General features: G+C 44.3%; 1 pseudogene across 1 annotated transcript, besides 5 other annotated features; it reads left to right on the forward strand.

Moving 5' to 3' along the window:
* Positions 3,167-3,336: an enhancer, noted in NCBI's record as "experimental_3305 CRE fragment used in MPRA reporter constructs". NCBI's record gives its function as "activates a minimal promoter by MPRAs in K562 erythroleukemia cells, with activity observed for both the introgressed and non-introgressed 1:212090071 variant alleles {active_cell/tissue: K562}" and the evidence as "EXISTENCE:reporter gene assay evidence [ECO:0000049][PMID:34662402]".
* Positions 14,865-15,366: an enhancer, noted in NCBI's record as "OCT4-NANOG hESC enhancer chr1:212101684-212102185 (GRCh37/hg19 assembly coordinates)". NCBI's record gives its function as "activates a minimal SCP1, AML or CMV promoter by ChIP-STARR-seq in primed H9 embryonic stem cells {active_cell/tissue: H9 hESC(primed)}" and the evidence as "EXISTENCE:reporter gene assay evidence [ECO:0000049][PMID:30033119]".
* LOC124904505 (peptidyl-prolyl cis-trans isomerase NIMA-interacting 4-like) lies at positions 20,530-23,175 on the forward strand (annotated as a pseudogene). Its single transcript, XR_007066869.1, has one exon. The product of XR_007066869.1 is annotated as a peptidyl-prolyl cis-trans isomerase NIMA-interacting 4-like (transcript).
* Positions 22,011-22,290: an enhancer, noted in NCBI's record as "active region_2491". NCBI's record gives its function as "activates an Ori minimal core promoter by ATAC-STARR-seq in GM12878 lymphoblastoid cells {active_cell/tissue: GM12878}" and the evidence as "EXISTENCE:reporter gene assay evidence [ECO:0000049][PMID:35858748]".
* Positions 22,341-22,430: an enhancer, noted in NCBI's record as "active region_2492". NCBI's record gives its function as "activates an Ori minimal core promoter by ATAC-STARR-seq in GM12878 lymphoblastoid cells {active_cell/tissue: GM12878}" and the evidence as "EXISTENCE:reporter gene assay evidence [ECO:0000049][PMID:35858748]".
* Positions 25,428-25,507: an enhancer, noted in NCBI's record as "active region_2493". NCBI's record gives its function as "activates an Ori minimal core promoter by ATAC-STARR-seq in GM12878 lymphoblastoid cells {active_cell/tissue: GM12878}" and the evidence as "EXISTENCE:reporter gene assay evidence [ECO:0000049][PMID:35858748]".

Raw genomic sequence — 26,897 nt, forward strand, 5'->3', positions numbered from 1 at the left:
ACCTCTTCAAGATAAGTATTGTTCACATTTTGGTATATATTCTTCCAGGCATTTTCTATGCGTACACACATTCTCTCTCTCTCTCTCTCTCACACACACACTCACATGCAGACATGAACACACAGACACACGTACACATGAACACACACACACACACACACACACACACAAGTGGGATTAAGCATCTGTGGTAAATTAAAAATGACTCCTAATTCTTTGCCACTCCCCGCACTGAACGGTGGGGTCTGTTTCCACTCCCTGTGTATCCAGGCTGGGCCTGAGACTAATCTGTACCAATAGATTGAAGTGGAAGTAACACTGGGTAGCTTCCAAGGCTGGGTCTTGAGAGACCTCAACTTCTGCCTTCATCTCTCGGAGCCCAGCCACCATGTGAGGAGGACTCACTAGCCATGTGAAGAGGCGCACATGGAGGAGAATGGAATCCTGTGGCTGAGAACGCCAGTAAAGCTCCAGATGGTCCCAGTACCAAATGTGAGCTGCCCCAGAGCCCCAGTCAGTACCAAGTGATACAGAACAATCCACAGAATCATGGGAAGTAGTAAATTGTCATTTTAAGCCACTAAATTTTGGGATAGTTTGCTAAAACAGCAATTGATGACTGAAACAACTACACAGAAAAATAGTATTACATCGTGCTTACTATGTGCTCGGCGGTTATAATTTTTAAATACATATTAACTCACATAACCCTTACATTAACCTGATGCAGTAAGTACTATGATTTTATATTATTATCCCCACTTTACAGATGAGGAACCTGAGGTGCAAGTGAGCAAGCAATGGGGCTGGGATTTGAACCTGGGCAGTCCATTAGGATCCATGCTCTAAACCATCTGTGCTCTAAACCATCATATCCCACTGCCTCTCTGCTGCTTCCTTTCATTTAAGACATCACGAACAACTTTAATGTCAAGAAATATCAACCTACAACATGATACTTCAAGCTACATGTTGAAATCTGTTGAAATACTGATTTGAGCTCCAAAGTACTAGCAATCTCTTCTAGTTTGGGGATTATCTTCAGTGGATTTATAGCCTATTAATGTCTTTGAGTGTTGGTAATTTTTCTTTTTTTTTGAGATGGAATTTCGCTCTTGTTGCCCAGACTGGAGTGCAATGGTGCAATCTCAGCTCACTGCAACCTCCACCTCTCAGGTTCAAGTGATCCTCCTGCCTCAGCCTCCCAAGTAGCTGGGATTACAGGTGTGTGCCACCATGCCCAGCTAATTTTGTATTTTTAGTAGAGATGGGGTTTCACCATGTTGGTCAGGCTGGTCTTGAACTCCTGACTTCAGGTGATCCACCCACCTAAGCCTCCCAAAGTGCTGGGATTACAGGTATGAGCCACCACGCCCAGCCTTTTTTTTAGGGTTGAAGTTTTTGAATAAGACAGAACTCAGGAATGAGCCTCCATGCACCCACCTGAGATTTTCCAGAGCAACATCATTCAGTAATAGTCTGTAAGTGTAGATTGTTTAAAAATCTAGTATCTGACCAGTGTTCTATGATCTTAGCCACTTGTTCCCAAGTGCAGGGTGAGAGACAGGCCACATAAGAATAACCTGGTACTTACAAAAAAGTACAGACTCACAGGCCTTGCCCCAGACCCCCGAGTAATAGCATTGCTGAAAATGGAGCCCCGGAATCTGTATTCTAACATCCCTCCATGTGATGCTGATGACAGCTAGGTTTGGGAACCATTGATCTAATCACCATTTCTCCTTCTTATCCATATTGATGGATTTATTGAATCCTCTACCAAATTCCAAGTCCACTAAGGGAATTTGCTAGTGACCATTTGAGAAATGTCCTGGCTCTGCTCTTCACCAGCTATATGATTTCATCTCTGGACATTTTTTATCTGTCAAATAAGGAAGTTGGATTAATTATTGCAGTGGATGCCATGGTGCTGTGGTGAGCCCACACATCCCATCTTCAAGATCCAGTCACTCATTCCCTCAACTGTTGGCAGTGTTGGTTGGCTGCTGCCAGTTCTCAGGTGTTCCAAGTTCACGTTTCCTCCAGGGGTGAAGCCCGTGTCCATTGACTGGTTGATGAGGAAGTATAACCTAACCTCCTACACCCTTGTCTCAAGGTGGGCCAACTGTGAAGAGTTGTCCCATGGGTTTGGCCTGAGACCTCTGTTGCATCTACACCACAGTTCAACCCATCCCTCTGCCCTTGCACTCTCTTCACTCCCCCATAGGTGTGGGTCCCAAGGGCATTCCTCAATAAGCTTCTTGCACACAACCTCTATCTCAGTAGTTTCCTAAGAAACCCACTACCACAATGACTGTTGGCACAATGATCTTTTGCTTCTGACTTGGATTGAGTTGACAGCAAAGATGCCTCTTAGGACCTTTTCAAACACCTTGGGCTCGTTGTTGAGCTTGAAGAGCCTTCTTCTCTTCAGCCTCCTCCCATTCATTCTTCATTCATTGAGCAAACTTATTGTACCCCTACTATGTGCCAGGCCCTAAGCTCAGCTGGGTATTCAGAGACTTGCCTGTGTCTCAAATAGTGGAAAAGAATAAGCACTTAGAAGCTGAATGGCTCCTCTGTCTCTGTGATTTGTTATCACTGTGCTGTTTCCCAAGCTATGGGACTAGTCCATCTTCTTGTCCTGAACTTCACCTAATAGGCCTCTTTATTGCCCTGCCCACGGTTTGTAAGGCCCCTCTCTGTAGTGACTTTAATCTTCCTGACACTATTCTTATGAGTTTGTGTCTTTCTTTCTATTCCCTTTTTAGCTTCCAGGTTCCTTCTTCCAGCTCTTGCAGCCAGCGTGGGCAAGGGCCAACATCAATGTTTTATCCATTTAGGACACTAGTGTCTATTTCAGCCTTATGGGGCTTTCAGTAGTAGAAAATTTGGGGAAAAGGGTCTCAAAACCTTCCAGATGGGCTGGGGCAGAAGTAGGGGCTCAGAGTCCAGTTTCCATCCAATAATCCATGTAGGGCCAACCCACCTCAGGCAAAACTGAAATTAATCAGACATTGCTGCTGCCACCCCTCTTTTGGTCAACTCCAGCCCCTGAGGGTGTTCTTCAGCCCCATCTCCCCATTCGCCTTCACAGATCTGCAGCCTTCCTACTTTATTTTCTGAACACTTCCCCCTTCCTTTGCTGTCAATCATTTTCATTTTTTACTTGAATGAGTCTGAGTCACAATCCACCTTTTCCAGGGATTATCTCATTTTAAGCTTTTTCTTTTTTTTTGAGACAGAGTCTCGCTCTGTCACCAGGCTGGAGTGCAGTGGTGTGATCTTGGCTCACTGCAACCTCCACCTCCTGAGTTCAAGCGATTTTTCTGCCTCAGCCTCCTAAGTAGCTGGGACTACAGACACACACCACCACACACAGCTAATTTTTGTATTTTTAGTAGAGACGAGATTTCACCATGCTGGCCAGGATAGTCTCGATCTCTTGACCTAGTGATCCACCCGCCTCGACCTCCCAAAGCGCTGGCATTACAGGTGTGAGCCACAACACCCAGCCTCATTTTAAGCTTTTTCTTACGCCACGTTGCAACCTGAAAGGCTTTGTCCACTGGACAAAGCATCAACAGACACTTAGAATACAGAGGGCTCTTTTTTAGCCCTTTGCAATCACATGACGTCCAAGGGCTTGTCACTGAACCAATGTAACTATCTAGCACAAGAGCAGAAAGGAATCAAATCCAACACTCTCATTGTATAGATGAGGAAACCAAGGAACAGTGAAGTCAAGCAACTTTCCCAAGGTCATTACCAGAACAAGAAAGGAAGACACCTTCTACAAGGAAAGAGTATACAGATGGTACATTTTAGGAAGGGCACGGCCTGTGGAAGGTGCTAATTTCTAGATGCTACTTTAGAGTATGACTTTGATTGATTACTTGCAAAAGTAGACCTATGCTTGTTAGTTATGCCTCTTTCACCTGCTACTCCTCCACAGTTGGTCAAGACCAAGCCCTAGTCATCCTTATTGATTGAATTAGGAGCAAAATCTAGGTTCTAGTCCTCCTAATTCTACTACTTACAAGTTGCCTCACCTTAGGAACGCCATTTAACTGCTGTCTCCTTATTTTCCCAGTCTGGCCTTGTCCTCACCGTTGTGGGGTATCAGGCAAGATAAAGCACACAAAGTCTCTCTGCATGCCGGAGAGCATTTTGCAGCATGAGGAGATGTTTTCTGCCCCACCTATGTACTAGAATCCTCCAAGGAGCCCGTAATGTGAGTGTAGGGGTCAGGGGCAGGCTGGTGACTGGATGCTTTTGTTTAAGTTCCACCAGTGATTTTGATGCACATCCAAATGTGGAAACCACTGACAAAGTACAAAAGACAAACAGGAGAAGAGAAATAAATTGTGAGCTAAAGATGCAGGCATGTTTTAAGCTCTCTTTAGAGTGGATAACTAAGGGCCAACTTAGAGAACAATTAAATTGCCCATCTTTTTCAAGGTACCTGAAACCCTAATCTCAAGTCCCTTTTTTCTTCCTGGAAAAGATGTATATGACTTCAATTACATTACTTTTCTTACCTAGCAATCTAAACACACACTGAAGATTTCACACGCACACACACACACACACACACACACACACACACACACTTCGTGAATCATCTCTGCCTGGTTGCATGCTGAAGTCAGATTCCGAGTAATGTCTGTTATTCTTTAACCTCTGAGTAATCACTCTGGCCCTGGTCTGCTCTTTATCGTCCAGGAAAACAATCTGATCAAGCCTTGGATGATGGATTCATAGTTGCTCAAGTCTCCAGAGTGCTGTATAAACCAGACTATTAATTTATTCCATGGGGATATTCTGTGAAAGTCCTACTTCTCCTTTTTAATAATTGAGTGGCCTCGAGCAAGTCACTCAATCTCTCTAGGTCTCTAAGATGATTATGATCACTAAGCATCACTCTTTACAAAGTATTTCCTTCTTTGTGACATCTCTCTTTAAAATGTCAGTTGAATGTTCTCAGAAACTTGTTGCAGTGGGCATAACATTAAAGAAAATGGGTAAGAATGAGAACAATGAATTTAAGGAACATTTCATTCAGTCCATGGGACACCAGAGTGGACAGCTGTGACTTGTGTCTGCTCAGCACTTCTTCTGCTCTTCAGGGGACAGAACTTCCTTCCATGGGGGAACTGCTCCTTTCTTCTTCCACCTGGTTGTGAGGAGGCTGCTGATCAAAGGACCCTGGCCTCCTCTTCTTCGGCCACAGGGGTGGGCATGTGACCCTGATTCAACCGTAATAACAACCTACTCACCTAGCCACAGTGATTGATCTGGGAATTCATCCAAGGATCAATCTGAAAAGAGAGAGAGAGAGAGAAAAGAAGAAAGAAAGAAAGAAAGAAAGAAAGACAGAAAGAAAGAAAGAAAGAAAGAAAAGAAAGAAAGAAAGAAAGACGGAAGGAAGGAAGGAAAGAAAGGAAGGAAGGAAGAAAGGAAGAAAGAAAGAAGGAAGGAAAGAAAGAAGAACAAGAAAGAAAGGAAGAAGGAAAGAAAGAAGAAAAGAAAGAAAGAGAGAGAAAGAAAAAGAAAGAAAGAAAGAAAAAGAAAAAGAAAGAAAGAAAGACAAAGAAAGAAAGAAAAAGAAAAAGAAAGAAACAAAGGGAAAGAAAGAAAAAGCAAGCCAGGGATTTTTCTAAATTAAGCTTGTAGGGAAAAGTATCTTCCCTTTCTGGTCAAGGCGCTTTATCAATATGACCCCATGTGCCACATGAGAAGGCTGGGAGGACAAGGCCACCAGCCAGAAGGAAGAAGAAATGAGGCAGTGAGAGACAGAGATGGAAACAAGGAAAGGGTCTGTGGTGTCGAGTTCCCAGGTCTGACTCTTCCTGGCGTCATCTGGCAATTGTTCTTTTGATTCCTCGAGCTACCCCAGAGCTTTCCCCAAAAGTCACTCTCTCTTTTTTTCTCACTTAGGTCAGTTTGTTTTAGAATTTCTACCACTTGCAACTTAGTCTTGATGAACAGAAACTCTCCGACAGTTTTCCTCTCAACTATACCTTAAAAGAAACGTGGTCCCAAATTTGAGGCTCTATGTCCTCTTGTCACCTGGCCCTTGACGGCAGCCAGTCTTGCCTTGCTTTCTGCAAGCTGCACCTTGTTCACCCACGCCAGGCCAAGCAGTGACTCTCGTGATTCTTCACCTCCCCTTTTCAGATCTTTACTTCCCCACTTTCCCCACTGCATTGTGTAAGATCTCATTCTTATAATAAATACCTTAGTCCATAATAATCAGTGGTTCTGCTTCCATGGTTTGGCCCTGATTAATGCAAATGCTATTGGGTTGGCCCTGACAAAGAAGCTTCCTTCTTCTTATTATTATTATTATTACTTTTTTTTTTTTGAGATGGAGTTTCACTCTTGTCACCCAACCTGGAGTGCAATGGCATGATCTCGGCTCACTGCAACCTCCGCCGCCTGGGTTCAAGCAATTCTCCTGCCTCCTCAGTAGCTAGGATTACAAGCACGCGTCACTAGGCCCCACTAATTTTTTTGTATTTTTAGTAGGGAAGGGGTTTCACCAGGAATGTTGACCAGGCTGGTCTCGAACTCCTGACCTCAGATGATGCGCCCACCTTGGCCTCCCAAAGTACTGGGATTACAGGCGTGAGCCACCGTGCCCAGCCAAAGCTTCCTGCTTCCCTTCTTTGCTTCCTGCCCACACCCCCTCCATCTCTCCATCCGCCCCTCCTCTCCAGTCACCACATCTCCATCTTTCCTCATCCTCTCCCTGCGTCAGTGGGAAGGTCTGATGCAGCCGCTGCTCCTCTTAACCACTATGCTATTTACAGTCTCAAGCCCTCTTCTCTCTGACCTCTGCCTGGTTTCCTTTTGCACTATTTCCTGAGCTCCATTCCCAGTCGCAATTCTGTGTCTGGCAGGCAGCCTGAAGATTTAACACAGGCTGGCACCCAGCAAAGGCAAATGCCAAGATGCCCTGCCCAGAGCTTCCCACTCATTATTTCCAATTAGAAAATGTCACTAGGGAAGAAAACAAATACGCTCAAAGATAACTCAGAGAGCACTGTGTGTTTGTTGCCTGGAATAGATGCCAAATAAATATTTTATCAAAGGAATTTACATAGTAAAACTATTTGAGTTGGAAATTATCCAGGAATACTTTCAAAATGAACATGGTGGTTTTTTATTTTATTTTATTTTATTTATTTTTTATTTTTTGGTAGTATGCATGGATTTGAAATTCCCCCTGGGAGCTGGCTCTGTTTTTGATGAGCTCAAGGTCTCTTCCAGCTCTGTGATGATGGCTCAAAGGCCAGAGCTTCTGATCCCAGCCCAGCCATTGCTCAATGTGAGTCAGCTGAACTCTCTAGACTTTGCCTAGTCTATCTGGATCAATGAAATAATCAGAGAAAAAAAAATCAAAATCATTGTATCTTAGGCTTGGAAGCAACCTTACAGGTTATCCCTAATTAAGGAAGCTGGCTGTTGTCTGTCTCCATCCAACCCCTCTGGCTTCGCCAGACCCGTCACTTAGCTGGGACCCCGTGGCCATACAGTATTGTCTTCTCTCAGCAGGCAGATGCTGGGTATGGTGACTCAGGCCTCTGTCCAAGAGTTGGGACAAGTGTCTAATGCAGAATTTTCTTCATGTAGAATTAGACACTGTAAATCTTAAAAGGACATTGTTACCCAGGTTGACATGGGACATGTGAGAGGAAGAATAGGCCAGGCGCAGTAGCTCACACCTGTAATCCCAGCACTTTGGGAGGCCAATGTGGGCGGATCACGAGGTCAGGAGTTCAAGACCAGGCTGGCCAACATGGTGAAACCCCATCTCTACTAAAAATACAAAAATTAGCTGGGCGTGGTGTTGTGTGCCTATAATCCCAGCTACTCGGGAGGCTGAGGCAGGAGAATCACTTGAACCAGGGAGTCAGAGGTTGCAGTGAGCCAAGATCGCGCCATTGCACTCTAGCCTGGTGACAGAGCGAGATGCTGTCTCAAAAAAAGAAAAAAAAAAGAATAATGTATTGGAAACAAGAATGAAGCAGGTAGCTACTGTTCTTAGGCACCTAGTATGTGCTACACAATTTATATCTATGTTAACATTTAGTCCTCACAACCACCAAGGAGGCTCTCTCCAATTTACAAATGAGGAAACTGAGGTCCGGTAATCCCAAGTAGTATCCCTCGAGTTGCACAATTGGTGATTGGCAGATTTGGGATGCCAGACACTTTGGAGTGACCCTGACCTCTCTTCTCTTTCCACATACAACCCTGCACCCCACACCCATCTCTCAGTCGTGCTCAAGAGTCTTTTCCTGTCAGGCGCAGTGGCGCATGCCTGCAATCCCAGCACTTTTGGAGGATTGCCTGTAATCCCAGCCAAAGTAGGAGAACCGCTTGAGCCCAGGAGCTTGAGACCAGCCTGGACAGCATAGTGAGACCCTGTCTCTGCAAAAACAACAAAAAAAGTTGGCTGGGTGTGGTGGTGTGCACCTGTTAGTCTCAGTTGCTTAGGAGGCTGAGGTGGGAGTATTGCTCGAGCCCAGGACGTCAGGGCTGCAGTGAGCCATGATTGTGCCACCTCATTCTAGCCTGGGTGACAGAGCGAGATCTTATGTCAAAAAAAAGTATTTTCCAGTTTCCTACTAAGTAAGGGAATTGAGAGCACATGTCAAATCATATATCACATCAGATCACGTATCAGTAGTTAGTTGGGTAAATTTATGATTAAACAATGCAACTATCTTTTAGTCCTGCAGATTGAGTTATTTTTACCTCCTTCTTTTGTTGTCTACATACATTCCTCAGTTGTGTAACTCTTCTGTTCATTTGGGCTGGTTGGGTTCTACCAGGCCATGGAAATCAAGGTCACGTGTCCTGACCAGGCAAGCTGAGTGAGCAGCAGCCCTTACCTGAGGTTGGCTTGACAAGGTTTATTTGGTTCTGCTGCATATCACACTTGTCTCACATCTGTCTTTGGAGCCTCTTGAAGCACAGGGGCATCCCAGAGGACCCCCGACTGCAGCCCAGAGAGAAAAAAGACCTGCTCCAGCCAGCGGCAAAGCTGGCACCTAAGGCCGAGGTCCCTGACTCCCGTGTGCATGTTTCAATGTTTCTTTCCTATATGTATGATGTAGTTCTACCTATGGCTAGTGCTGCCTTCAAGAGCAGGGTTGGAGGCCTTAGCCATCTCCTCTTAATCTCCATCAGCATCCCATGCCCGCCAACACACACACACTTCCTTCTTTGTCATGAGCATCTGGCGTTTTCTCAGTTCAGGTAAAGTCCTGTGAAAACACAACAATCCAGGTCCCCAAGCCTGCCCCTTCCCAAGTAAATGAAGCCCCTGTGTCCCTCCTAGGTGGAAATTCTGGGATCATCTGCACATATGCCTATCTCTTCCATGAGACTCTCCACTCCCTCCCAGGGGTAGGAAATAGACCTGTTCTTTCTCTCTGATATCCCTAAAAGTGTAATGAGGGTTCTTCACACTTGCAATGAATATTTGTCACTGTGCCTGCTGCTGCAGTGGCCAGCTGTGCTTGGTCCCAACTAAGAAGGCTTGTGCTTGTCTGTTTGGAAGTAGGTATTCCTTGCATTTCATCTGTAATGTAGGCAAGCAGTTGAAAGAGAAGACAGATTTTAATTTTTAATGGCTCATGTCACTTTGCTGCTCTATATATCACAGACTCCCACCTTAGACTGTGGGTTCCTCAAGCACCTTAGACTGTGGGTTCCTCAAGCAAAGCAATCACGTATCAGGCATGTAGTTGCTACCCAGTAAGTGGTTGCCAGGTAAACGACTGAGCATCTGAATACTGCTCCTTATAGCACCTAATAAAAGGGGAACACACCTTATCTGAAAAGGTGACTCGGCAGTCAGGTGTACTGTCACTTAACAGGGAGTCATCACACGATGCTTTTTACTGCAGAAAGAGATAAAACAAATGGATCTGCCACACAATGTAAAACATGAGGGCAATCATTGCGCACCTCCATGCCTTCTGCCTGTCACATGTTAGTGACTTAAAGATACACTTACAGGAAACGATAGTATATACTTCCGAATTGCAGTGGGTTATCTGCTCAGCTGCTCTTCTCTGGGGCCAGTACAACCTCCCCTGCACTTCTGATGCACACACCCCTAGATAGTTCCAGGTGGTCATGTTCATGCTGTGACCTGCCCAGATTCCTCTCCCAGGAATTGGGAATTTTGGACACAGAAGCACAAGGAAAGGGAGCTGTCTGGGGAGGCAGGCCCATTATGGCAGCCTCCTGGAGGGAAGCCCACCACCACTGCTACTGCGCACCCAAGATCAGCCACAGCAACTGCCCATTCTAGGCCAGCACAACACAGGAAAACACGACATGGAAATACATAGACTCTAGTAAAACACACACACACACACACACACACACACACACACACACAGATGGAATCAGAAAGCTTGCTAGTCCTCAAAAATAAAGATGTAAAATTTGGAAGTGAGTTACTTTTTCTCTGTTGCTCTCCTCACTTCTGTGGTATCATCACGGCTTGTATTTTACTGAATATTTCCGACATTTCTAGAAACCTATGGAGGGCAAGAATGTGTCTTATTCACCTTTGTGCATCTCACTGGCCTAGCCCACCCCTCACCTCCACAGGCACTCGATGGACACTGATGTAGCTGAATTAAGTTTGATTGACTAGGACAAAAATAATGAATTCGCATGTTTCTAGGGTAAACAATATTAAAACTATGCTCAAATTTAATCATTTATCCTTCTTTCTATCCAGATATTATTTAGGAAACAGGCAGCCATTAGGTAAGTGCCTGTGCTTTTTTAAAAAGGGGGGAAACAGAGATGAAAGGGAAACTCCTGTGGCACATTTCCCATTTCTTGTCCCCAGCTCCTGTGCCTTTGCCTCTCTTTAGCGCCCTTTCTCTGCCCTCGGCCTCCCTCACCACTTCATGGCCCCAACTGCAGGGCTGTGTGCTGTCGGGGGCCCCACCGCAGACACCGCGAGTTGTGTCTTACTATGCAGTTTGGACAGGGCACAGAGGGCAACTGGGCGCTGCCATTCTGGACACCTCACCGAGTAGACTCTTGCCAGAGCCCAGCTGCCTTTCTGAGCTTTAGAACCAAAGAAAGACATGGCTGAGGGAAGAGCCACGAACCAGGAGTGGTCAGAAACGGGTCACCAAGAAGGTCCCCAAGATGGTGAGCTTGGGGGAACGACAGAGCAACCCTAAGGAGTCCTTTGGCCACTGTTTAAGACTGAGTAGCCTCCCCGTTGGAAGGGCTTTTTATTTTTTTATTTGATTTATATTTTATTTTATTTTATTTTTGAGACATAGTCTCACTCTGTCACCCAGGCTGGAGTGCAGTAGTGTGATCTCAGCTCACTGCAACCTCCACCTCCCAGGTTCAAGCAACTCTCCTGCCTCAGCCCCCTAAGTAGCTGGTATTACAGGCTCATGCCACCAAGCCCAGCTAATTTTTTGTATTTTTAGTAGAAACGGGGATTTGCCATGTTGGCCAGGCTGGTCTCAAACTCCTGACCTCAAGTGATCCACCCACCTCAGCCTCCCAAAGGGCTGGTATTACAGGCATAAGCCACCGCACCCAACCGGAAAGAGCTTTTTATAGTGATTTACTGATCAGTGAATTTGTCACCTAAAAACACTCCAGAGGTGTGGGTGATGGTTTTGGTGAGATGGGGAGAGGTTCTGAGTCAAGAGCGGCAGTCTTATGCTTAGAGCAGTCAGGGCTGTTACTCCAGCGCCAGGTGTCCCCTGGCCACACCCTCCTGTCCTGCCCTCTCGGCTGCCTCACCCCAGAAGGCAGCTGTGTGGTGCTGACTGAGATGCGGCTGTGGATGCAGCTGAAGGCTGCCAACATTCAAATGCCTTCCCTGCTGGCTGCTCAGAAAGTGCCGGACAAAGGAGAGGGAGATGATACAGACACATTTCTTAGAAATCTGTAAACCTGTATTTGCCTGTGTGCTACACTAAATATTGTATACAATGAAGGGGGCCTTGCACTTTGAGGGGATTCCTCTCATGTTTCAGAATGTTAATGATAAGAAAATGTATTCTTACATTATTTTTCTATGCCTGTACTATATCTTGGAAAGTAAGCAATTGAGGTGATTTTTTTATACTGCAGACCCATTAAAAATAATTGAAATATATCTTTTGATTATTTTCTTCTGCTTATTTTTATTTATTTATTTATTTTTGAGACAAGATCTTGCTCTTTTACCCAGGCTGGAGTGCAGTGGTGCAATCTCGGTTTACTGCAGCCTTGATCTCCTGGGCTCAAGCAATCCTCCTGCCTCAGCCTCCTGAGGAGCTGGATTACAGGAGTGCACCACCACATCTGGCTAATTTTTCTTTTCTTTCTTTCTCTCTTTTTTTTTTTTTTGTAGGGACGGGGTCTCAGTATGCTGCTCAAGCTGGTCTCGTACTCCTAGGCTCAAGAGATCTCCCTTCCTTGGCCTCCCAAAGTGCTGGGATTACAGGCACGAACCACTGCACTGGGCCTATTTTCTTGACTGTGAGTAATACATGTACCATTTAGAAAGAATCACCTTATTAATATTGCTATAGACCTTCTTACTTATGTACCTTTACATGAAAATATATTGTGTTAAAAATAATTAGATCATACCATAACCATAATGTTTTGAAACTTTATTTTACTAAAAAATATATCATGAATGTAGTTCAATGACAGTCAACAGATGTACATCATCATCATCAATCTTAATATTACATAGTTTTCTATTTTATGGAGTAGTATAATTTGATCAGTTTCTATTTTAAGACTTTAGATGGTTTCTAATTTTTGTCTTAATAAACCACATTTGATAAATATATTTTTATAATACCTCTGCTTTCTTGTCTGATCACTGTTTTAGGAAAATTTCTTAGAAGTATAATCTTTACATGATTTTTCACTCATAGCCACTCTTTCATCTAGAAAAACTCTACCAATTTATACTCCACCCCACCCCCAACAGGAATGGCATAAAAGTCTATTTAAAATAATTTTAAATTTGTTTTTATTAAATATTAAATACATACAAATAATATTTCTAATGTGAAGGACGTAAAGAATACACAGATATTTATCTGTGAACCCACCATCTAGCTTCAGAGCTAGAATATCACCAGTCTCCTAGAAGCCCCCCTGTGCCTTCTCTGACCCCATCCCTGCACTCCTCCTCCTCAGAAGAAGAATCCACTTTCCTAAACTGTGTCTCTACCAGTTCCTTGCTTTTAGTTAGTTTTACCACATATGCTTGTATCCTTTAACAATATGTGCCTTAGTTCTGCATATTTTTCCTTTATAGAAATTAAATTGTACTTATGTATTCTTTTATAACTTGCTTTAAAAAATTTGTAAATGAAGTATGTCACACATTCAAATGCCTTCCCTGCTGGCAGCTCAGAAAGTGCTGGACAAAGGAGAAGGAGATGATACCAGACCCATTTCTTAGAAATCTGTAAACCTGTATTTGCCTGCGTGCTACACTAAATATTGTATACAATGAAGGGGGCCTTGCATTTTGAGGGGCTTCCTCTCATGTTTCAGAATGTTAATGATAAGAAAATGTATTCTTACATTATTTTTCTATGCCTCTAATATATCTTGGAAAGTAAGCAATTGAGGTGATTTTTCTTATACTGCAGACCTATTAAAAATAATTGAAATATATCTTTTGATTATTTTCGTTTAATTTTTTTAGAGAAGTGCATGTATATTAAGTTCAGCGTGGTGCATTTTCTGAGGGAGCACATGCCTAGATCAAGACACAAAACATTACTAGCACCCCAGAAACCCTTTTGACTCCCTCCCAGTTACTGTCTTTGTCTGAAAGGAACCACTATTCTGACTTCTAACACCATACAATTTATACAAATGGAATTAGAGTGACTGACTTCACACGCTCAACTTTATGTTCATGCCTCTTGCTATATGTAGCTACAATTCACTCATTTTTACCACTGTATAGTGTTCTATTATACAAATATATAATTTATATATCTATGTATCTATTGATGGATATTTGGGTTTCTTCCAGCATTTGCTCTTATAAACAGGGGTGTTCTAAGCATTCTCCTATGTGTCTTCTTATGCCCAGGTGCAAAGGTTTCTTTAGGAGAAACTAGGAATGGAACTGCAGGGTCATAGAATATAGTTATTGTTTGCTTTAGAACACGAACTCACCACTTACCACTCAATGTCATACATGAACTCACCACTTACCACTAAAAAAAAATTGGCCAATCTAATAGGTAAAAATTAAATTCATTGCTTAAATTTGCATTTTTAAATTATATTTATTTCACTATTACTTTTTTTTTTTTTTTAACTCCTGGACTTAAGCAATTCCTCCCATCTCAGCCTCCCGAGTAGCTGGGACTACAGGCAGGCCCACTGCTCATAGCTACATTATTACATTTTTTTTTTTAGCTGTTCATTGGTCATTTTTATTTTTTCTTTTGTGGATTCTTTGTGTTCTCAATTTCCCATGCTAGTTGCTGATCTTTTTCTTAATGATTTGTAAATGCCTTTATATATTAAGGATATTACTCTGATATCTATTATGAATGCTGCAAATATATTCCCTATAATTTATTCTATCTTAGAGTTTGGCTTATGATACTTTTTGCCATTTAATGTTTTATTTCTTTCCCCTGGGATGTGCAAACTCCAGAGAAATGGGGTCAGTGCTCCCCCATTTCAAGTTTTAAATTAAAATTTTTGTCCAATTAGTGCCATCATTCTTTTTTTCTTACAGGCTCTGCCCTTTCTGCTGTTGGAAGCAGGTTTAAACATGCTTTTCTACTCCAGGATGACGCATTTGTTAAGGTGACTTTTTATTTTTCATATTTACTGAGTAACTGGTTTTCCCAAGTTGCTGTCCAGAGATAGCAGTGGCTGGGTCAGGGTGTGACCTGCTATGCAGACTTTAGAAGCAGAAGTGATGATGCAGCTTCTGTTATCTGGAGATCTGTTTTCATCACACAGAGGATGATAAGTGAATTCACTTGTGTGCTAAGGCCAGTCCTTTGCTTCTTATGCAAAGGATGTGGAAATAATAGTCCTTTCTCCCTAGAACCCAGCAGGTAGGCTGGGCTCATTACAACAGGGAAATTTCACCAAAGCAAGAACACCTGAGGGACAAAACTGGCCTGCCAAGACCAACCAAATGAACTCTCCAGCAATTGCCTGGCATGGGCTCCCCTCCCACAGGGGTTGCTGATTGCTCAGGCTTTTATAATTCTTGAGCCCTGTTCCAAGGAGTTTTTGTGGTTTAAATCAATATGCTTCTGGGAATAAGTGCCCTTATTATTTCCTCGTTCACATTATTTGCTGTGCTCTTATAGCACCCTGACATAATATTCTTTGTGCTGCAGTACAATAACAGTCCTTTCAGGAATCTCTAACAGCTTTCTAATTAGGACCTACAACCTCACGACAGATGGAGAACATGAAGCCCAGAGACAGGGATGGTGAGGCTTCACCTTGGTCACAAAAGAGCCAAGCTTCAGGGCCTATGGGCTACACTGCTTATCTAGCAGTGATTGCAGAATTATAAGGCTGCTTCAGGGCATGGCAGGGAATGCTGGATCCTTTGCAGTAAGGCTTAGGGGCACCCGCTATTGAACTAGCCTCTGCCATTTCTAGCCACACCCAGGAATCGGTTGAGCAATAGCTCTTGTGTTTACAGCCACTTCTCAGTGGCAAGGCTCAGACCGGAAACTGCATGAAGGCTAGGTAATTTGACACTGAATTTTGCGTTAAATAGTTAAACTTTCTTGATTACCTACCATGTGCCAGCCACCATGTTGAGCACCAGGAAGGCAAAGATGAACTCCCAATCCCTCCCTTTGGATATTTACAGTCTAGAAGAGGAGACAGATCTGTGAGCAGAACATTATAAAGTTATCAGAAGCCGGGTGCTTTACTAGAGAGTAGAACAGAAGGCCAGTAGTACTCAGCCCCGGGGCCTTCAGTGTTCTTCCTGCTTCCTGGAAAGGAGGACTTTTGACTTGGGTAAATCATAGGAGATGGGCTGGAGCTTGCTGGGCAGAGTTGGGAGAGAAGTGCGTTGCATGCTGAGAGCCAAGCACCGACAAAGGCCCAGAGACGTGCAATGTACTGGGGTTCAGGGAGCAATGAGAAAGTCAGCATGTCCAAAGTGGCCATGGTCATCCCACTGTTCTTTCTCTTGTCTATTATTACAACAAAAATCTCTCTGTCTATGCTCAATATTTTATTTCGGATGTTGAAAAGGCTGAACATTGTTTTTGTCTTTGCCTTGTTGCTTTAACCCTTCATTTCTCCTCAGGGACTTGTGGGTGCCTCTGAGGAGGGAAAGGTCACGTATCTTTCCTGAAAAAAAAGCACAAAGATGAATATCTCACTGCAGTATGAGGACACAAGGTGGGGCAGTTCAGGGAATTTGGGGCAGGAACCCAGCTGGGCTTTCTTTTACCATCTTTACAGCAGAAAACATGGCCTTGGAAAGCTTCCAAGGTTACCTGTCCAGATCCAGTCATCCAGAGGGAGGTCCTGTGGTTCAAAGCTTGTTGCAGAATCCATAGATGAAAACACATGGCAGGTAGGGGTGTGAGGGGAAAACACGAGCTGGCAAGCAACCTAACACACGGCCCACGTAGGAGCAGAAGCCTCAGATTTGAGCTTTAGGAATTGGGTTCACAGCTGGCTCTGGAATCAGGCTGGACTGCAGTGGTGGGAAACCAAAGGCCACCTCTGGCTTCCTTTCTTTGCCTTTTTTTTTTTTTTTTGAAATGGAGTCTTGCTCTGTCACCCAAGCTGGAGTGCAATGGCGCCATCTCAGCTCACTGTAGCCTCCACCTCCCAGGTCCAAATGATTCTCCTGCCTCAGCCTCCCGAATAGCTGGGATTACAGGCACGTACCACCATGCCCGGCTAATTTTGTATTTTTAGTAGAGATGGGGTTTCACCATGTTGGCCAGGCTGGTCTCAAACTCCCGACCTCAAATGATCTGCCCACCTCAGCCTCCCAAAGTGCTGAGATTATAGATGTGAGCCACTGTGCCCAGCCTCTTTGTCTTTGTTTTCCCTGGTGTCTTCCTTGCTCACTCCACCTTCCACAGGGTCTTCCAGGTTTCATATACCTCCTTAGTCAACACAAATAATGTGTGTCCTGCTCAAGTCTCCCTCAGTGCCACTTGGACACCTCAGCTAGACCTTGGCACCACGGACACTCACTGAGTACCCTGACATAGGTGACAACATCTGGGAGCTTCCTGGGGGCAGGGACTCTGTCCCTGCTACACATATACATGATGATTTGCACATAGTAGATAGTCTAGGAAAAAGAAGGGCCAGGAGGGAGGAAAGATGGACAGGGAAGAACCTAGCTGGAAACTGAAACCCCAGCCATCCAAAGCAACAACATATTCTAAATTCTGACCAAGAGGAGGCTGCTGCTGGAGGAGGGTGAGAATGACTAGGAGGAAAGAGATAGATAAGTACTCTTAAAAAAAATTAAAAAAATTAAAACTTTCTTGCAAGTTTTAGTCACTGCCCACTCCCTCCTACCTCAGCCCTCAGTTCAGAGCCTCAGCTGCACTTGAGGCCCACGGTGAGCCTCTGTGATACTAGCAGGCCCTGCTCCAGCCTCTCCACTGCTCAGAGCTCAGACAGCTTGCCTCTCTGCCTCAGTCTCCGAGGCGAACACTGGGGATGGCCAGCAGGCAGATCAGCCAGGATTGCTTCAAGCCAGGGTGAGAACCAGGGCTGGAGGCCAGAATAGCCAGGGAGCTGATGGGAGGCATGGGGCAGTGGAGGGAGCTGGCTGCTCCTGGCAGGACATGGTAACATTAGCCTCCATTTGTCTACAGTGCCTCCGACCCCAGGGCCATGCAGCTAGACTGCTTCACACAGATGGATTGGGATACGGGCTATGGAGGAATACTGAGTATTGTGTCTGGCTAGAAATCAGGACATGGAAGGACGAACAGGTTTTTCACGGATGGAGGGAAGAGTGTTCAGACAGAGGGAAAATATGAGCAAAGCCACAAAGGTAAGATAGTGCAAACTGAGCTCATGGAATGCCCAGGGTGCCAGTTTTACTGCGGGCTGGGATACACACAGAGGGCCGTAGAAAAGAGAGGTCTGGGCCGGGTGCAGTGGCTCACGCCTGTAATCCCAGCACTTTGGGAGGCCGAGGCGGGCAGATCACGAGGTCAGGAGATCGAGACCATCCTGGCTAACACGGTGAAACCCCGTCTCTACTAAAAATACAAAAAATTAGCCGGGCGTGGTGGCAGGCGCCTGTAGTCCCAGCTACTCGGGAGGCTGAGGCAGGAGAATGGCATGAACCCGGGAGGCGGAGCTTGCGGTGAGCCGAGACTGCGCCACTGCACTCCAGCCTGGGCGACAGAGCGAGACTCCGTCTCAAAAAAAAAAAAAGAAAAGAGAGGTCTGGCTGCTAGGCCTGTGTCTAATTGTGGAGGATCTTCAATGATATATTGAAGAATGTGCACTGTATTGGGAACCCAGTTTTGTTTTTTTTTTTTTAACAAGAAGAGTGAATTGCAGCTGGCGCGGGGGCTCACATATGTAATCCCAGCACTTTGGGAGGCCAAGGTGGGTGGATTGCTTGAGCCCAAAAGTTTGAGACCAGCCTGGGCAACGTGGTGAAACCCCGCCTCTACAAAAAAATACAAAAAATTAGCCCGATGTGGTGGCACGCGCCTGTAATCCCAGCTACCCAGGAAGCTGAGGTGGGGGATCCCTTGAACCCAGGAGGTCAGGGCTGCAGTGAGCTGTGATCGTGCCACTGCACTCCAGCCTGGGCAACAGAGTAAGACTCTGTCTAGATTTAAAAAAAAAAAAAAAGAAGAATGAATTGGGAAGCAATGGTAAGAAAGGTTCACTCAGAGGAGACTGAAACTAGCAGCAAGGAAATTAGGAAGTGAAAGCAATATTCCAGGAAGACATAATGAGGTTGTGAACTAGGATGATGGTAGTGGGAAAAGAAAGAAAGCACGTTGTGAAGAACAGCACCCCGTTCCCCAAAAGTAGGACAGCTCCTCTCCCTGCATGAACACCTATCTCACAGAAACATGCAGACACACACACTTAGGAGGTGAGAGAAAACACAGCCTCTTCACCGTCACTCTCTTCTCAGCTGTCAACCCCAGCCCTCCCCAACTCCACCCCCACTCCACCCCCACCACTTCTCTGTGCACCCTTCTCCTGTTCCCTCCATCCCATTCTGGGCAATGGCTGGAGGCATCCGCTCTAAGGACAGAAAGAGTCACACGAAGGTTATTTATATCTGCGGCTGCACTGCCTGAGCCCTTAGTCTCGAAGGCATGTGTTTGGTGGGGAGCTGGGCCACAACGCATCTCCCAGGCAAAGCCCTCCTGCTGGGAAGTCTGCAGCTGTGGCCTCCATGAAATCTTGCTGATAAAATAGGGCCAAGAGGTCATAGAGTCCATTCCTCTGCCTCCAGAGAGGCTCTTGGCAAATGCACCTCTGTGATTGAACAGGCTTCCTGTCTTAAGGCCCTTCAGAAGCACCCATGAAGCCTGAATGCTTCCTTCTTTCAGTATGTAATTGTTTCTAGAGTTCACTAAGTTCTTCCTTATACTCAATGTAAACTTCCTTGCTTCTTGCTCCATTTTTGGGGGGTGGCAAACTCTCCAAAACCTTGTTAGTAGGGAAAGAGTTCTGATCAGTTAGGTATGAAGCACCCATTGAACCTTGGGGCTTATGTCCAGTAGATTTGATGGTGCAAACTAACTTTGGATATAAGCCCATTTATTTTGCAGTTGACCAAATAAGTCTCAGAAAGAATGACAGGATGTCTGGGTCGGCTCACTGCACTGGTGATACTTCTCCCATATCTTCCTGGCACTCCCCTGCCCCCTCTCTCACTTCCCCAGGGATCAATACTTGTGCTGACAGGGAAGGCTGAGAGATGGAAATACCCTCCTCCCAACAGAAAAGGATACATTCCTCTTGAGTCTAAGAGCTTTTAGTCCCTTCTAGGTCCTCAAATGAGACCTGGAACGTCATCCTTCTTTAAGGCAGAGATGACCTGAAATGTCACTGTTTTGTAGGGCTGAAGTTCCTGTCCCCGCTGCTCTCTGGGCCACTGGGCCAGGCTGGCCAATCCACCACTGAGGAGGAAGGCAACCAATATCTGTTGGGCACCCGCCAGGCACCAGGCTTTGTGAGTGTTATCACATTTAATCTTCACAACTCTTCAACAGGGTAACTATGAGCCCCCTTTCACAGATGAAGAGGCCAAGGCTCAGAGAGATGTGATGAGAAGAAACAGAGACTCGGAGAATAGCCAGGTGGCTGATATAGGGTGTGGGACAGTGGAGAGAGCTGTTCGTTCCCATTAACAGGACCTGATAACATTAGCCACCATTTATCCACATTGCAGCCAACCCCAGGGTCGGGCAGCTGAGTGTACACAATACTGGTTACAGAGAAATATGAAGGATCGTGCTTGGTTAGACAAATCAGGGTCAGGGTGTTTCTATAGGGTCTGGAAAGACAGATGGGTTTTTCTATGTGGAATAGTTGGTGTCAGGGGAGACTGAATTCTGACAGGAGTTATTTCCCTCTGGCCAAAGCTTTGTGGGAGTTTCCCATCTTCCCCAATCACAGAGAATTGAAGCAGGCTTAAGATTGCAGTGAGAGGCTGAAGTGGGAGGATCCCTTGAACTCAGGTTGAGGCCGCAGTGAGCTATTATTGCGCCATTAAGCTCCAGCCTGGGTGACAGACCCCTCATTTTTAAAAAGTAAAAATTAAAAGATTGCAATGAGTGGTTTAGGTTGGATATAAGAAAAACTTAGTGGGTTGTGAGGATGGTTAAATACCAAAGGAGACACAGGGTGAGTGAGCCTTTGTGAAGGGCTGCACAGGGAACTGCAGTGGCTCTGCCCTGGGGAGTCCTGTCCAAACCCATTCCTTTCTCCTTTCACTGGAGAACATGATCAGCCACGTGAGGAAGCTCAGGCTCACCCTGAATAGTCACGGTCAGAATGTGTTTCTCACCACCCTCCCTCCCATGGTCTCTGCAGGAAAGAGGGGGTGGCATGGCCGTGAACCCCAGGAGCTTGGCCACCACTGTATTCCCAGCACCTGCTATGCTGTGTGTGTTTGACAGACATCTCGTGCATGAATCAAAGAATACCTTCTCAAAATGGTTTATGCCCTTGCTGGCCATGCCTTTAGCATACATCCGGAAAATCTGTGTTCGAATTCCTTCTCTGACAAATGCTGATTGAGCTGCAGTGCCTTGTGATGTCAGCTGAGTTACCTTCAGTGCTCAGGAGTGTTTTCTTTTCATCAGCTACTCCTGGTCAGCCACTTGGGAGTGGGTGGGGGGCAGGGGGAATTAGTGCCTAGGACAGATTCTCAGGCCCTCTCATGTGTCAACAGCCCTCAAGGAGATTCCAGATGTGCTCACTCTCAGAGACAACAATTCTAGCCAGGCTAATATGCTTTTGAGCATCCCAAGGGACATGGTAACCATTGAGTAGGATAGCTCTGATGTTGCTGAAGGGATTCTGTGACTATACTTATTTCTCCCTAATACTCCAATACCTTGAAATGTGACACGGAGGGGTTCAAATCATCCAGCAGCCTGGCCAGAGGCAGCAGCAGTTTCTGTAAGGAGACAGTATTTAACTTTTTTTTAAGTGTAAACTCCTGTCTCCTTGAAGTTAAATATTTCCTTCACACTTTAGGGGCCTTTTTTTTTTCGAAATGCTCTTTTGCCCCTCTCTGGATAACAAGTAGTAGGTGCTCAATTGTTTGAATTACATCAAGAAGAGGCTGAGAAGGGACACACGCATTCTAAATGCTGCAAAAGAAGAAAATGCCAAACGATGGCCAGTTTTTAAATTACTTAAGATCCTCTCCCGAGTGTTACATACAAGGGGACACTATCATGAATTTCAGAAATGGCACTCTTTTGTGTTTTGTCACTTTTTTTAAGCCCTCGCCACATTTTCTAAAAATAGGCCTTATTCTGTCCAGTGAGACTCCAAGTTGCTTGGGGGTTCTCCCTGTCAGTTTCCTTTTGACTCTCCCACGGCCAGCTCAGGCCTGGCGACGTGTTGTGCTCTCACAGGGAGAGTCCCTCTCCTCCATTTGCATTTCCACAGTAGTCTTCTCTTCTGCTTCTCCTGTGAACCTCCTAATCACAGGATGTCCGCTTTTGCTGGTGGGTGGGATATGAAGGCAAAGCAAGGCAGGAGCAAGTGTTAACAATTCATCATCACTTTCCTCATCTCACTACTCTTTCATGCCATCAGGGCAAGATGACATAAATAGAAAGCATCATTAGCTCCACTGCTTCCAGTGGGGGATGGAGGGAAACTCCAGCCTATTTTCACCTTCCATGGTCTTAGGAAACAGGAGAGGGTAGACACCGGTATCTTCTCATAATTCCTTAGTGTAATTTAGTTCCCTTTTATTTGTCCTAATCCTTTACACATTTTTAACTCATCACCACAAATAAATTCATCAAAACCCTCAAATGAAATCACCAAGAAAACCAAAGAAAGTTGAGTTAGAGAGTATTTCTTCTCTGCATACCATGTAATTTTCTTCAAAACATCCTTTCTGGGTATTTGAGATGCTCATTTTTTTCCTGATTGTTATAATTCATTTGGCATTACCCCATCTTTATTAATTTTACTTAAAAAATTATCTGGAAACAACAACAAAATATTTTTAGAACAGCAAATTTCAAAAATGATGCCCAAAGGAAAAAACGGTTCTGGAAAAGGGGGAAATGGGGACATGTCTCTGGGAGCAACAGTGCTGATGAGAAGGCTCAGGGCCCCAAAGTGGGTGGCGACACAGCAAACAGACACATTCTACGCGAAAAACATGGCAAAACGACGGAAGCCATGGAAAAGTTAAAATCTAGTATGAGACTCAATGAAGTGTCTCCACAATATAGTGAAGATAAAAGCCAGGCCAGGGGACAACTTGGGTAAGGAGGATAATGACCCAGACCCCCGCTTTTCAAGAAGCAGCATTTGCCTTGCCTGTAAGTGGGATGGGTAAGCCTGTGTTTACAGATCCTTCCATAAAGACAAAATCTGGATATCATATTATTATGGTTGAAGGAAGAAAATAAAATCAAATTAAGCCAACTCACCAGACTTTAGACTTCTCACTACATCTCATCATACTGTTATTGTCTATGTGACTGGTAAAGGCTAAGTCCAAGGCATTGTGCAAAGAACAGGGTTTGATTGAGCAACATAGTATTTTTTTTTTTTGAGACGGAGTCTCGCTCTGTCGCCCAGGCTGGAGTGCAGTGGCGCAATCTCGGCTCACTACAAGCTCCGCCACCTGGGTTCACACCATTCTCCTGCCTCAGCCTCCCAAGTAGCTGGGACTACAGGTGCCTGCCACCACGCCTGGCTAATTTTTTGTATTTTTAGTAGAGACGGGGTTTCACTGTGTTAGCCAGGATGGTCTCGATCTCCTGACCTTGTGATCTGCCCGCCTCGGCCTCCCAAAGTGCAGGGATTACAGGCGTGAGCCACCGTGCCCGGCCTCAACATAGTATTTAATACTAGAAGCAAAGCAAACGCATGAACCTAAATACCCTCCTTGTCATCTATACACTCTTTCGTGTGGAACTTTTAGTGAGTCAAAGAATTCCAATGTAGGCCCCCTTATCTAGAAATCCACTTAAGGGTCATCTAGGTCTTAAGGTAACAGTTCTCATTTTTTCATTTTTCATTCCCTGCACTTTCCAACTCCATAGGCAGTAGCCACATGAAGCCATTTAACTGAAGGAGGCCGGGCATGGTGGCTCATGCCTGTAATCCTAGCACTTTGGGAGGCCGATGGGGGTGGATCACTGGAGGTCAGGAGTTCAAGACCAGCCTGACCAACATGATGAAACTCCACCTTTACTAAAAATACAAAATTAGCCGGGTGTGGTGGCACATGCCTGTAATCCCAGATACTTGGGAGGCTGAGGCAGGAGAATCACTTGAACCTGGGAGGCGGAGGTTGCAGTGAGCTGAGATCGCACCATTGCACTCCACCCCAGGCAACAAGAGCAAAACTCCATCTCTAAATAAATAAATAAATAAATAAATAAATAAATAAATAAAATAATTAAATTTAACTGAATTAAAAGTAAATTAATTCAGTTCCTCAATCACACTAGCCATATTTTAAGTACTCAATAGCTACATGTGGCCAGTGGCTGTAGCGGTTAGTGCAAATTTAGAACGCCTCCATCATTACAGAAAGTTCTGTTGGTCAGTGGTGCCTATACTCTACATACCAAGTGCCAGGTCATCTTATTCTCAATATTCTGTTGGCAGGTATTGGCACAGAAAGATCAAGTGACTTATCTAAGGATTAATGATGAGTCTTATAAATAGAATTTAAACTGACTTCTCTGGGACCCTAGTCTGAGGATCTTGTCTAATTGGTTTGTTCTTCTCTGAACAGTATCTTAACATGAGAAATGGCATATTCCCCAGTTGCAAATTGCCTGCTATCTTGGTTGGTTTGCGCTAGAAAGGTTATGTCTGAAGGTCTTAGTTTAAGCTGGAATACATTAATTTCTGAATAGTCAACATTCTATTGCTATCATCACTGAAGGCAATCAGCAGAATGTATTTACATATATTTCCTTGTATGTCTGCCTTTACATATTTTAATTAAATGATTTATAGCATAGTAGACAGAAATTCTATTTTGTTTAGATCATTATTACTCAATGTACCCAAATTGCATTAGGAAAGATAGCTTAAATGTGTTTAATAGCAGAGACAAGGTAATAAAATGCTCAGTGAGAACTGATCTAACACTTTGGAAAAAAAAATACTAAGGAGGATAATGACAGTAGTAGTAATAATAAAAGCAAATGCTTATATATCTGTTTTACTATATGCCAAGCATGTTCTAAGTAAATTCTATACTAACTCACTTAATTCTCATACCTACCCCATGAAACACTAATATGTTTCTCTATTAGGAATAAGGAAATTGAGGCATAGAGAGACTAAGTAGCTTGTCCAAGGTCATAAAGTTAAGATTGGAACCTCGGCAGTATGGCCCCAAAGGCTGGTGCTCTCAGTCACTGGACTACACAGCAGTCCCCCTTATCAGTAGGAGATACGTTCCAAGATCCCCAGTGGATGCCTATGACTGAGGATAGTACCAAACCCTATATACACTACATTTTTTCCTATACATACACACCTATGCCAAAGTTTAATTTATAAAATAGGCACAGTAAAGAGATTAAGTGATTATAAAATAGAACAATTGTAACAATATACTGTAATAAAAATTATGTGAATGTGGTCTATCTTCACCTCTGGGAACTGAAACTGAAAAGCAAAGTGAAAGTGAAAAGCAAAAACTGCAGATAAGGAAACACTACTGCACTGCAAAGTGACGAAGCACTGAGAAAAACTAGTCCTGTCTTCCTAGCTTTAACCAGCAAGTGCCCTTCATATTTCTAAATTTAGGGAACATGCCCACTTCACAATTAGTATGCATCTTTCTTTTCTGCATCTCATTTTTCTTTTCATTCATTAGTGTAGTGTTGAAGTTATAAACAGCTTCCCCCACCACAAATAACCATTTAACAGTTGATGCCAAAAATTCAGTAGATATTTTACTAAACAAAATCAGAGTTCCAATCCTGGATCTAATGGACATACTAAAATAAGTCTTTCTTGCTTCAGAGTTATGTTCAGTTCAGTTATACTCTGAACTTCTTGGACTTGCTTTTATTTTAATAATTCCTGGCCAGGCACGGTGGCTCACACCTGTAATCCTAGCACTTTGGGAGGCCAAGACGGGCGATCACCAGAGTTTGGGACCATCCTGGCCAACATGGTGAAACCCATCTCTACTAAAAAATATAAAAACTAACCAGGCGTGGTGGCACATGCCTGTAATCCCAGCTACTCGGGAGACTGAGGCAGGAGAATCACCGGAGCCTGGGAGGTAGAGGTTGCAGTGAGCTGAGATTGCACCACTGCACTCCAGCCTGGGCAACAGAGCGAGACTCTGTCTCAAAAAAAAAAAAAAAAAATTCCTTTCTGAGTTTGTGCCAGGAGCCCATAATACACCAAGTTAAAAAGTTCATAAACATAGCTATCAAAACCTATCTTTTAAGAACATAACATTTGGGAAGTTCTCAAAGGGAATTGATGGCTTACAAGATTTGCTTCTTTTTTGGAGAAATCTACCTTGAATGGCACCAGAAGCTTGAAATCCACATTGTAAACTTTAACCCTGAAAATAGCCACTTAATTACAAATAAAAAAGATCTCCAATTTAAGAAATGTTTTTGTTTGTTTTTAGTCTTTCAGTCACTTGATAATACAACTCTAGGCTGGAATCCAGAAAACCAGTCTAATTCAGTCACTTGACAGACAAAAAAAAAAACCCCTAAGATGTAGAGGTAAAGTGACTTGCTTGGTCACACAGCTAATTCACCAGAACCAAGAGTGAAACCCAGGCTTTCTGATTCAGCTGTTTCCACACCTGGTAAAAGAACAAGGGGTTCTGCACTGCTCTGGCAATTTTTCCTAAGCACGTGTTCCCAGGTGCTGAGATGACTGTGTAGGTTGTGTGAACCTCATACAACTGGGCTGCATCTGAAGAGATGTCATTCAACCGTGGACACTGTAGATCTGTACACATTTTATGAGAATGTTCTGGCTGTTAGCAGTACAATGGGTTGTGCTCATGAAGGCAAGCAATCTTGGAGAGACCCAAGTTGCAAATCACTTCTCAGTCCCAGAGGCCGCATGACAAGAAAGAAAAAAAAAACAACAACCCCTTTTTATTTTTTATCTTAAGCTCCATTCTCCTTTGAATTAATGTT

Source organism: Homo sapiens, chromosome 1, assembly GCF_000001405.40.
Source record: "Homo sapiens chromosome 1, GRCh38.p14 Primary Assembly".
Taxonomy (NCBI): domain Eukaryota; kingdom Metazoa; phylum Chordata; class Mammalia; order Primates; family Hominidae; genus Homo; species Homo sapiens.